The 12,738-nt window shown below is 37.9% G+C and overlaps 2 long non-coding RNA genes across 3 annotated transcripts in view, besides 3 other annotated features; one reads left to right on the forward strand and one right to left on the reverse strand.

Annotated features, from left to right (window-relative positions):
- Positions 1-93: 93 nt before the first annotated feature.
- Positions 94-12,738, reverse strand: part of PKD2L2-DT (PKD2L2 divergent transcript) — a 35,509-nt gene continuing 22,864 nt past the window's right edge. For both annotated transcript variants that reach the window (XR_948815.3, XR_007058950.1), the window contains 2 exons: positions 5,339-5,546; positions 94-4,764 (listed from right to left, as the gene is read on the reverse strand). This is a non-coding gene — a long non-coding RNA (PKD2L2 divergent transcript). The remainder of the gene's footprint in view (positions 4,765-5,338; positions 5,547-12,738) is intronic.
- On the forward strand, positions 2,145-8,897 carry LOC107986368 (uncharacterized). The gene is made up of 7 exons (XR_007058951.1): positions 2,145-2,221; positions 2,633-2,750; positions 3,448-3,510; positions 5,415-5,500; positions 6,432-6,563; positions 6,824-6,843; positions 8,172-8,897. It is a non-coding gene; the product is annotated as an uncharacterized LOC107986368 (long non-coding RNA).
- Positions 4,616-4,695: an enhancer, noted in NCBI's record as "active region_23188". NCBI's record gives its function as "activates an Ori minimal core promoter by ATAC-STARR-seq in GM12878 lymphoblastoid cells {active_cell/tissue: GM12878}" and the evidence as "EXISTENCE:reporter gene assay evidence [ECO:0000049][PMID:35858748]".
- Positions 4,726-4,775: an enhancer, noted in NCBI's record as "active region_23189". NCBI's record gives its function as "activates an Ori minimal core promoter by ATAC-STARR-seq in GM12878 lymphoblastoid cells {active_cell/tissue: GM12878}" and the evidence as "EXISTENCE:reporter gene assay evidence [ECO:0000049][PMID:35858748]".
- Positions 10,207-10,373: a silencer, noted in NCBI's record as "fragment chr5:137199613-137199779 (GRCh37/hg19 assembly coordinates)". NCBI's record gives its function as "represses an EF-1alpha promoter that drives an FKBP-Casp9 reporter gene in an ReSE screen in HepG2 liver carcinoma cells {active_cell/tissue: HepG2}" and the evidence as "EXISTENCE:reporter gene assay evidence [ECO:0000049][PMID:32094911]".

The raw sequence follows: 12,738 nt of genomic DNA on the forward strand, positions 1-12,738 counted from the left end.
AAGAAAATATATTTGAAAAAAAGAATTTTTGAGGAAAATATAAATGATGGAAGTTTATTCTGGAGAGACAGAAAAACTGAATGAACCAGTCACTTTAGAAGATATTGAGAAAGTTTTATTAACCCTTTAGGAAAGCTCATGGTTCAGAATGGTGCCATCTAATAAAAATATAATGCCTATCAGAAAAGAGAACAGCAAATATATAATTTTAAATTTTCTAATGGTAACACTAAAATTACAAAAAGGAACAGGTAAAATTAATTTTAATAATATGTTTTAACACAACATATATAAAAGATTATCATTTCAACGTGCAATCAATATAAAAATTCATTTTGCAGCCGGGCATAGTGGCTCATGCCTGTAATCCCAGCACTTTGGGAGACTGAGACAGGAAGATCACTTGAGGTCAGGAGTTTGAGACCAGCCTGGCCAACATGGTGAAACCCCTTCTCTACAAAAAATACAAAAAAAAAAAAAAAAAATTAGCTGCGTGTGGTGGCACACCTGTAATGCCAGCTACTCAGGATGCTAAGGCAGGAGAATCGCTTGAACCCAGGAGGCAGAGGTTGCAGTGGGCAGAGATCGCATCACTGCACTTCAGATTGGGCAACAGAGCAAGACTCCATCTCAACAATAAGAATAATAATAATAATTTTACCTTTTTTGGTACTTAGTCTTTAAAACTGTATTTTGCATTAAAACATTGGAATTTAGTTGCTAAATTTTCATTTAAAATACTTCATGTATTTAAATTGTATGCAATTTATAAAAAGTAGATTCATATACCTAGACTGTTCTAAACACACTTAGAAGTTTTCCTAAACTGAAAATGAATATTTAGATATAAATTCAATTTAATGAAAATAAAATTTTAAATTAAAAAATTACTGGCTCTGAGGTGAGCTCTAAACTTTCAGTTAGCTAACACAGCAACACAACCAATATTAAGACTAATAGTGTCTATGAGGAAAAATTAAACTAGTATCGTGGGAGACGCTCAATTATTCCTGGTACTAACAACTGAAATACATTTCTCTAGTAAATCATCATGGAGATAATAGGAACACTGACAACATCTGCTATGGTCCAAATGCTGACGTCCCCCCAAAATTCACATGTTGAAACCTAATATTCAAATGTGATAGCATTAAGAACTGGGGCCTTTGGGAAGTGATTAAGTCATGAGGACTCCACTCTCATGAATGGGATTAGTATCCTTATAAAAGAGACTTGAGGGAATTCCCTTGCCCCTTCTACCATGTGAGGTCACAGCAACAAGGCACCATTTACGAAGGAGACAGCTCTCACCAAATACTAAATCTGCTGGTGCCTTGGTCTTGGACTTCTCAGCCTCCAGAACTGTGAGCAATAAATTTCTATTGTTTACAAATTACCCAGTAAGGTATTTTAAAGGGTATCATAGCAAGCCTGAACAGACTAAGATAACATCCTTCCTTATAGTAAGCATAGCAATGTGTTTCAATATATTTCTTACTATAACAAATATTCTGAAGACTTCAGACCAAAACACAAATTCACAGATACTAATTTATGCCCTCTGAAATAATGTTTTTGAGAAATGACTCAATACCTCCTCTGGGCACAAGTGCTATAACTCTATAAAGGTAAACATCTGGATTTCTAAAATGGAGAATGCTAAAGTAGTTCCATCCTGAGTTAAGAATTCAGTTGTTCTGGGCAGGGCATGGTGGCTCACACCTATAATCCCAGCATTTTGGGAGGCTGAGGCAGCAGATCATGTGAGGTCAGGAATTCAAGACCAGCCTGACCAACATGGTGAAACCCCATCTCTACTAAAAATACAAAAATTAGCCAGACATGGTGGTGCAGCCTGTAGTCCCAGCTACTCAGGAGGCTGACGTGGGAGGATCGCTTGAACCCGGAAGGTAGAGGTTGCAGTGTGCCAGGATTACACCACTGCACTCAAGCCTGGGCAACAAAGCGAGACTCCATCTAAAAAGAAAAAAATAATAAAAATAAAATAAAATAAAAAGAATCCAGATGTTCTGGATTAACCTGTCTGTAACCGATACCTGCTGCTAGTCCGAGTGTAAATACAATACACTGGAACTAAATTGTATTAAAACCCAATGAGATTTAGAACAAATCTATTTTTTCTCTTTCTTGCAGGTGCTCAGGGAAGTAAGGAAGTTTTATCTCTGGAATTGTGGTTGAAATGTGCTACAGAAATTTCAGGGTAAGTGCAGAATCTCATGTGGATGTGCATTTGTTGCGTGTGAATATAGTGAAAGTTCCACTTTAAAAAATACCAAAAAAAAAAAAAAAACCTAAGACTTTGCAGACAAACTTTTAAGTGATTATTTGCTTTATAGGTTATTTCTTCTAGACAACGTGTTTCATAACACACCCTGATTACCAGACTGAGACAAAAGAAATTTAAAGTGAAACAATTAGGAACCATAATCCACTAATAATTGGTTAAAAAGGCAAAAAAAGTATTAAAATGATTATGCAAATGTAGAGAAATTTAAGAATTATAGGTAAAAATGTGTGCTACATTCAAATGTGTATACAGTGAGGCATTTCTATCAAAGTCGCCTCTAATCTTTCTTTCACTTGACGGTGTTTGGTTTTGTTTCCCCCACAGGATAAAGAAGAAAACCACTAGAGTTTCTCTGACCATCAGCTCCCCAACGAATGAAACCTCCAACAACAGATCAAGTTACTCTAACTTAGTTCAACAACTGTATATTAATCCCTAGAGGGTAAGTTCAGTTTTAAGCCTTCTGAGAGGGTCTTAGTAATGGAGACATAGGCCCAAGAAAAAGGAGTCAATGCAGTTTTCTTAAGAAGTATACAAGAAGAAAGCCTCTAGCTGCATGAACTCAAAAGAACAAGAAAGAAATCCATAGGTTTCAGAAATAACTCCATGGTAGCTCTATGGCTTGGCCCTTTGTTTGTGTGCCAGATAAGGGACAGTTGGTTTCTAGGAACTTGTTCCCATAAGAGAATATTCCAACTATCCGAGGAATGAATTCCCTTTTAATTTAAAAAAAAAGCGGGGGAGGGAGATGCTTTTTTGGAAATCTAAAAGATCCAAGAAGAGCAATTGTATGGAGGAAGAAAAAAAATTTAGTAAAATTTAAACTTTTTTTAAATGTTTAATATATAGTATCTAAATACTTGCCAATATGCATTTCCCAAATATAATTGCCCAGTGTTGTATTTCTCCATCTCAGCTAATGGAATGCTGAAGGATAAAGAAGCAAGTGTAGCACACTGGAGCAAATACCCAAACTGACACTGAAATTAGAAGCATCATGCTTTTCATAAAGGAAAGTTAAGGTGTGGTCAGTAGCAGCTAGAACTGAGCCCGTCAGTTTCTGGCAACCATGGACCTGAGTTTCAGGGCTTTGACAGTATGAGTGACAGCACCATGTTCTCTTTTATTCCTTAAACCAGATGCAGAGTCCCTGCAGCAGCCTGTCAGGATCCACTTGTGTAGTACCCTCTGTGTTTACCAAGGTAACCTCTCCATACTGCATGATGGAGTTTAGATTTTATAAGTAAGTTTTAGACATTAGTGAAGCGGTGAGAAGAAAAAAAGGGGAAATCAGAAAGGATTTCAGAGATTATTATCACGTTATATATGAGAAAAAATGAGGCTGAAAAGGGGTGAAATGATTTGCTCAGTGTCACAGAGCAATTCATGGTTTACCCTGTGCTCTTTAGACTTCTGCTCTGTGGCCGTCCTCCACCTCTGGAGGGCAATGCTTAGACTGTCCCCTCCAAGGAGACTGCTTTGCCTGACCTCAAAATATAGTCAAATTCTCTTAACTAGCCATAAAATGCCATTCTGAAGAAGTCAACAAGCAAAGTAGTAACTAAGTCCTGATTAGGTCACAGCCAGGAATCACTATCTTCCCTCTCACCCACTGGAAATAGCACAATTCAATCACCCCGGTCAAACCAAAACTAGGGCTAAGCCTTCTCTGGGCTCTCTGTCTCCCAATTACCAAACCTGGCAGAATTGGAATCAATGCCCATTGCTGGCTCAAAGTATGAAATGCAGGGCAGGGATTTAATCTGTACCAGATACAGGATGGGAGACAAACAAAACAATGTCATTAAGAGTAAGTGACATTGCTATTGATTCTGGAAGCTTGTTTTCAACAGATGCTGTCACGTACATGTCTGTTATTTCTACAAGTCTCTCCTGCTGCATTCCTTCCCTATAAGATGCCTGAGACCTCTGGGCATCAAGCCTGAGGGTTAGGCTGGTCCTTAGTCTAACCTGTAGAAAGACCTCAGATTCCCGCTCTCTGGTCTCACTGCCAAGTTATAATCTGAAATATCATTCTAGATTCCAGGGTACTCTGGGGTTGCAGGTAGAGGGAGGAGAAAGATCAGGATTTAAGGGGTAAATTTAACATAAATGCCATCCATTCATTTATACATTGTGATACTAAACTAGCTAAAAACACTTTTTATATATCTGTATAACTCTTACTCTTTACAGGAAGTTTTCAGACCTTTGTGAAATGAACCTCAAAACCCCACATATTTTGCTAGCCCTATTTCATAGACAAAGAACCTGAGTTCCAGAGAAGTTAATAGTCTTTTCCAAGTTCCTATAACCAGCTTCAATCAGCCAGTGGCAGAGTTAATATTTTGGCCCAAGTTCCCTAATTCAGGGCTCTTAAGAAATTACAACATAGTACTCACTTCGTTATCCAGTTTCACTTTCTGTGGTTTCAATAACCCACGGTCAACTGCAGTCTGAAAATAGATGAGTAGAGTATAATAAGATATTTTAAGAGAAAGAGAGAGAGAGAGAACACATTCACATAACTCTTATTACAGTATACTGGTATAATTGTTCTATTTTATTAGTTATTGTTGTTAATCTCTTACTATGACTAATTTATAAATTAAACTTTATCATAGGTGTGTATTACAGGAAAAAACACAGTGTACACAGGTTTCAGTACTATCCATGGTCTCGGGCATCCACTGAGGGTCTTGGAATGTGTCCCCTGCAGATAAGGGGTGATTACTGTACTGCCCATGCTACTGTGACCAATAATAAAGACTAAATCTGTGACTAGATATGTACTCAACAAAATAAATATAACAACAGAAGGAGTGTTCAACCAATCTGTTTTCTAATTTGAATAAAATGGCTCTTGGCCAAGTGAAATAATAACTTTCTCATTAAATATAATTCTATGAAGATAAAAATAATTTACACCTGACTGTAAAGCACACTACAAAGCCCAAAAGAATGCCCGACAGCGCCTTAAGATACAGTCAGCTGTCAATAATTATGATTTAAAAAAAGATGCACTCTTACTGCAAATGGCATTTCAAATCATTGTAGATGGTATAACAGTTTCTTCCATCCTCTGAACTCTGTGTTTGTTCTTCAGCATCTTCAAGACATCCCTACAACCAGAGGTCAGTTGGTCATGTTTGAATGCGGAATCCAGGCCACAGCCACAGTTCAAGTTCACTGGTACAGAGAGAACGTGCAGATAGCCAACTCAGATGACTTTCGGATTCTGAGGAAAAGTATCATGATAAGCCTTTCAATTGTTTTTAATTCCAGTTAACCTTGAAGTCTACTTCCTGTTTTAAAGTTTAATTGCTGATTTTTTTTAAAGGCTTAAAGATTTGTGCTGGTAAACAATTATTATCTCAAATCCAAATGATTTCTCAACAATAACCAACAAAGAAAACTGTTTTGATGAAAGAGTAATTTTCATAGCTGTGAAAAGATTGGTTTATCATCATAAATTAATCTTATTTTCATAATGAGTTCTTGACATATAAACAAAAAGAAATATGAGAATAAACATATTTCTTAAAGGGTAAAAACATAAAAAAACTGATGCATAACTTTTTACTTTATTGGGTAATTTTCCTACAAGATAATTAATTTGGAGAAAGGTAGTAAGTATAATGATCTATCTCATGCTAAACAATGAATTTATACTTTATAAACAATTTCTCATTTAATCCTCACATAAACATTTTGAAATATGTGTTATTATCCTCATTGTTAAATAACTGAAATTAGAAATACAAAAAAATCTTGCTCAAGGACACAAGGCTAGTAAATGCTGTAGCCAGTGTTCAAATCCAAGATAGTTCTTACGCCAAATGAAGAAAATATACTCATTTAAATATTAATTCAAAATAACTAAATATTTACACATCATATATAGGGAAAAAATCTTTTTATTACACAAAGGATATGATATTTCTGTTAAAATAACATTTATTGCATTGTTGAAAATAAAGTAATACAAATTTGTAATAAACCTGGAAAATACATAACATGAAAAAATTAAAAATAGAGAAAACCATTATTAACCTTTCATGTATTTTTCTACAGTAATGCTACAGTATTTTTATAATGTAATATTCCATTTTATTTTAATCAGAGAAATTAGGAAAAAATGATTCTCTTCGGTGAAAAAGGCCACCTCAGTATTAGTGTGTTCAACAGTGGTTCATATTCAGAGAAGATATAGTCATCTGGTCTAATCTTCACATTAGGGATGAAGAAAGTCTGGGTAAGTAAAGTAATTTTCACAAGGTCACAGAGCAATTTAGTGATAAAAGCAGAACTAAAATCAAGTTCTTCTACCCTGCCACTTATTCATTCCTTTATGCACCTTTTCTGAGTTTCTGAAGAATTTACTTACCGTCTGTGACTCCAGATTAGTCAATTTTGTATTTGTTTCCAGGTATTTCTCATATACATATGGCCCCTTCTCCCAACTAAATTATCATCACTTAAATTCTCTCTCTTTTTTCTTGTTTTATCTTTCAGAAGTTTATCATCCATTCCTGGTAAGTATAATTTCTTAAAATCTTGAAAATTGATTAAATCAACATTAGCATCAGAAGACATTGTCCCCTAAGTCACTCTTGCCTTCATGAGCTCTTTTGAGGCTCCCCTACATCAACTCTTGAACTGACACAACAGAAGAAGCAAGACAGCTGGGATTTATCAGTGTTTTTATTCATATATTTATTCATTCAACATAGGTTTACTGAGTACAGACTAATGGTTAGTCTCTGTTCTTGGTATTAAGGAGACAGCAATGAACCAGACTGACAAGGTCCCCACTCTCAAAGAATATGCATTCTCCCTGTAATCCCACTTGGTTTAGGATTTGTGACTCGTGAACTTTATACAGAAGCAATAAGGAGATGTCCTGACATCGAACATCCAAACTGCTCACTGTCCAAGAAGTAGTTGTGGTGACCATCACACTGTGGCCATCTCTGTATTAACATGAGGTCTAAGCGTGATGGTAGTGATAATTTCTAGTTCAGTTCAGAATATGTTTCCATAGGACTAAAGCTACAGAAATCTAGAAATCAAGGAATAAAATGTAATCCCTGCTTTCAAGGATTTCATAGTCTAGTAGAGAAAACAAACATGTCTAAGAGGCAGTTGATAAGAACCATGATGGGACTGTTTAAGACTTTTTTTTAATTTTATTGATATATATTAGAGGTACATATTTTCAAGGTATATGTAATAATATATTCATATAATGAAATCAGGGTAAATGAGATATGCATCACCTAAATTACTTTTCTTTACACTAGAAACATTCAAATTATTCTCTTCTAGCTATTTTGAAATGTACAATTAATGGGGTTTTTTGTTTTGTTTTGTTTTTTGAGATGTAGTCTGGCTCTGTCGCCCAGTCTGGAGTGCAGTGGCACGATCTCAGCTCACTACAATCTCCACCTCCTGGGTTCAAATGATTCTCCTGCCTCAGCCTCCTGATTAGCTGGAACTACAGGTGCCCGCCACCACACCTGGCTAATTTTTCTAATTTTTTAGTAGAGACAGGGTTTCGCCATGCTGGCCAGGCTGGTCTCAAACTTCTGACCTCAGGTGATCTGCTGCCTTGGCCTCCCAAAGTGCTGGGATTACAGGCATGAGCCACTGCGCCCAGCCAATGGGGTTGTATTTTTAAGATTTATCTTTATGAGCCCACTGAGAAGAGAAAATACCTAATCAGATGGATTTTTTTTTTAATCTCAGGAATAATCTATTTATTCCTAGTACCTACTCTCCCCAACATCCTCCCACACTATATGTTTGTTACCTTGGGGCATCCAAATACAGTAATCAAGTTGAATTTCTTCTCTTTCCACAGGAAGTCTGCACCTTGATTATCACAGAAGCATTTCCTGAAGACTCTGAGGAGTTCAAGTGTATTGCAGAAAATGAGGCTGGCACTGCAGCTTCTGCAACAAACTCTTAGTTTCCCCAGGTAATAACTCTTCAAAATCTCTTTGCTACAATTCAGCCCTGAGCCAAAAGGAAGAGTCTTTGTTTCCATCTGAACTCATGATTAATTATATTTTTGAAAGAAAGTAGTAGAGAAATCAGAGCGTCCTCCCAAGTTATCCATGAGCAAATTTTCTCCAAAACTGGCCTCCTCTCTCTGGAGCACCAAAAGCTACACAAAGGACACAAATCCAAACGATACCCCCATAAACTTTATGCCAATTACTCCTGAACCAGCCAGTCATAATGAACATGAGATCCAGTTTCCAAAGAAGGATTTCTGTACCATCAGTGGAAATACTTTTGAGCTACAAGCACAATAGTAAAGGGAGACAGACCCAACATTCATTCATTCAACAAATATTCCTGGTTCTGTAGATAGATCATGACAAAGCTCCTGTCCTCAGGGAGTTTGCATTCTGACATGAGTCACTTTATGTCGGTCCTCCCTTGCTTTTCAGTATGCATTTCACCATGGCTGAAATATTAAGCCCTGTGCTTAGATTCACAGTTAAGGGTTTATTACACAGATTTATTGAAAAAAAAAATCAGGCCAGGCACGGTGACTCACACCTGTAATCTTAGAACTTTGGGAGGCCGAGGCAGGTGGATCACTTGAGGTCAGGAGTTCAAGACCAGCCTGGCCAACATGGTGAAACTTCGTCTCTACTAAAAATAAAAAATAAAAAAATTAGTTGGGCATGGTGATGTGCACCTGTAGTCCCAGCTATTTAGAAGACTGAGGCACCAGAATTGCTTGAACCAGAAGGTGGAGGTTGCAGTGAGCCAAGATCATGACACTGCACTCCAGCCTGAGCGACAGAGCGAGACTCTGTCTCCAAAAAAAAAACAAAAAGGAAAAGAAAAATCAATACTGAAATAACACAAGATTTTAAAGAAGTGGAATCTCTTCCCAAAATAGAATTCGGTGTCCTATCTCAATATAAAAATGTAAAACATTTTGTGATACAGGTTTCTTCTTTATCCATGAAGAAAAACAGACCTTAGAATAAAAACAGAAATGTCCTTGTGTTTGGAAAACAAACCTACAAATGTAAAGATAATTCAGTTAAGTGAATTTTCCTACCAGGTTATGTTTAAAACAACACAATCCATCACCATTTGCTACTTCTCCACCCCCCAACACAAACCTCAAATCAAAATATTGTTTAAAAAATAACCTAGGGGCTTGGTGTGGTGGCTCATGCCTGTAATCCCAGCACTTTGGGGGGCCAAGGCGGGCAGATCACCTGAGGTCAGGAGTTCAAGACCAGCCTGACCAACATGGTGAAACACCATCTCTACTAAAAATACAAAAATTATCCGGGCATGGTGGCACATGCCTGTAATCCCAGCTACTTGGGAGGCTGAGGCATGAGAATCGCTTGAACCCAAGAGGCAGAGGTTGCAAGGAGCCAAGATCAGACTACTGCACTCCAGCCTGGGTGACAGAGCGTGCTGGGCTTGCCTTGGGAAGATGGCCAATACTGATTATCTAAATTTTTTCTAAGTACCTGTGTTTAATAGTGAGCCTTTGGGAGGCTAGGCGGGAGGATCATGAGGTCAGAAGTTTGAGAACAGCCTGACCAACATGGTGAAACCCCGTCTGTACTAAAAATACGAAAATTAGCCGAGCCAAGTGTCATGGCACACGCCTGTAATCCCAGCTATTCAGGAGGCTGAGGCAGGAGAATCACTTGAACCCGGGAGGCGGAGGTTGCAGTGAGCTGAGATTGCGCCACTGCACTCCAACCTGGGCAACAGAGCAAGACACTGTCTCAAACACACACACACACACACACACACACACACACAAATAGTGAGCCTAGGTCAGGCACAGTGGCTTACACCCATAATCCCAGCACTTTGGGAGCCTGAGGTGGGCGGATTGCTTGAGCCCAGAAGTTCTAGACCAGCCTGGGCAACATAGTGAGACCCCATCTCTACAAAAATATGCAAAAATTAGCTGGGTGTGGTGGCTCATGTCTGTAGTCTCAGCTACTTGGGATGCTGAAGTGGGAGGATGGCTTGAGCTGGGGAGGTCAGGGCTGTAAGTGAGCTGTGATCTCACCACTGCACTCCAGCCTGGAAGGCAGAGCAAGACCCTGTCTTTAAAAAAAAAAAAAAAAGAAAGAAAAAAAAAGTGAGCCTTTAAAGCTTTAAAAGGCACGGTTGCTCACACATGTAATTCCAACACTTCGGGACGCTGTGGCAGGAGGATCACTTGAGCATAGGAGTTTGAGGCTGCAACAGATATGAATCATGCCACTGCACTTCAACCTGGGAGTCCAAGTGGGACCCCATCTCAAAAACAAAAATAAGCAAATAAATAAAACTTTAAAAGACCTTGAATTTATAAGTTAGTATCTTTCATAACACATGACCATCTTCATTAGTAAAATCACCTATGGAGAAAACTATTGGGTAAATATTCCATAAAAGTTAACAAGTTTTTATTGAGTGTCTACTATGAGCCACACTGCGTTAGGCCAAGATAAATAAGTAGTAAACAGTCCCTCTCTCAGAAACATTTTAATCTAGTTAAGGAGATAAACCTACAGAATGTCCATTATATGACTTCCCATTTCACTTGAGTCTCTCATCAATCGTCTGATTTAGGTTGGTAAACCTTGTACTACTCTTTTTTTTTTTTTTTTTGTGAGTCTGGGTTACAAGTCTTGCTGTGTCACCCAGGCTGGAGTGCAGTGGTGTGATCATGGTTCACTGCAGCCTCAAAATCCTGGGCTCAAGCGATTTTCCCACCTCAGCCTCCCATGTAGCTGGGACTACAGAAATGCGCCAACATGCCTAGCCTCATTTTTCGATTAGTTATTAAAGCTCAAAGTTTAAGCAACTTGTTTAAGGCTACACAGCATGTATGTGGTGGAGTGGGCCCTCACACTCAGGTCTCCAAAAACAGATAACAAAAGGTAAATATGTCTAGAAAGTTGTAGAGCATTAGCCAAATTAATGTTATCATTTGTATTCTTTAACTCCAAACCCGATGGATTCCATTATTATTTCTTGCTTGAGAATAATATAAGATTGAGTCAAATGTTAGACTGGATATTTCAAATTACAAATGCTACAATGGGATTCCCTTTCATTATATATCTATGCAGAACTTTAATAACCACAGTGAATTTGTGTGAACTAAAATAAAACTTTCTTCACTCCTTAGTTCTTCCATCCTCAATGTGACGTTTTCCTTTTCAGTTGATATAGCAGAAATGAGTTTCATCACACACATCTGACCTCCGAATTTAAAAGAAGTTCACAGCACCATTTTTTTTTTACAATGGCATATATATCTTATATTTTTGAAAGACAAGAGCTATATATGAAGAGGGAAGAATGAGAGACAGTTAAATAGCTACCCTGTTTCTGAAACTGACGATAGACAAGGAATCCCTTAACATGTAACAGGAAAGGTTTCAGTGAGATAGTAGGAAGTTACTATATTTTGTAAGGCATTTGAATAATTTACTGAAGGCCCTTACTGATAATTTAGAAAAAGAAATGGAAAAGGTTGTCTTTGTGAGCAGGTTGTAGTAAAAGTTCACCCATCTGGCATTGTAATAATTCCAGTCTTAAGAGTCTATGATTTTTCTCAAATAGGCAATTAAACCATTCAAATAGCTATATTTGTGAGGAAACAAACCACCATTCAAAAAAGCAAATCAAACATTAAAAGGCAGGAACAAACAGATTTACAGTAGATTATTAATATAGCCCCTGACTACTGAGAATGGTATCATAAAAGAGGACCTACTTACCTTTCCTAAATCATCCCTTGATCCCATTATAGCAAAAACTTTAGCCTTGACGTACCATGAAGGCTATCACATGTAACACACGGTAACCTGGGTTGTATCTTACAAAGACCTAGAGAAGAGGCAAAGCTTGAAAGACAAAGAGTAAGCAGAACTAAATTCTTCCTCGAGTGTAGTATGCTTAGAACCTGCTGTAGGCAAAATTGGGAATTTAGCAGGTTGTCCTGGATGTCTTCCCTACTTGGCTGGTGAGGTATACCTCAAACTTTTAGTGCAGAGAGACCTCAAATCTATTATTTCCTTTTCCATGCCCTAATCAAACCCTGTTCTCCAGCAGAACCAAATGTCAGTCACATATACCACATTTAAAATTGCTTAGAATAGATAGGCTGGGCATGTGGTTTATGCCTATAATTCCAGTGCTTTGAGAAGCCGACGTGGAGGATCGCTTGAGGCAAGGAGTTTGAGACCAGCTTGGGCAACATAGCGAAACTCTGTCTGTCCAAAAAATTTTAAAATTAGCTGGGTATAGTGCTGCATGCCTATAGCCCTAGCTACTTGAAAGTCTGCAGAGGAAGGATCTCTTGAGCCCAGGAGTTTGAGGCTGCAGTGAGTTCTGATCATATCACTGCACTCCAGCCTGGGTGACAGAGTAAGACC

The sequence above is a fragment of the Homo sapiens genome, chromosome 5, assembly GCF_000001405.40.
Source record: "Homo sapiens chromosome 5, GRCh38.p14 Primary Assembly".
NCBI lineage: Eukaryota > Metazoa > Chordata > Mammalia > Primates > Hominidae > Homo > Homo sapiens.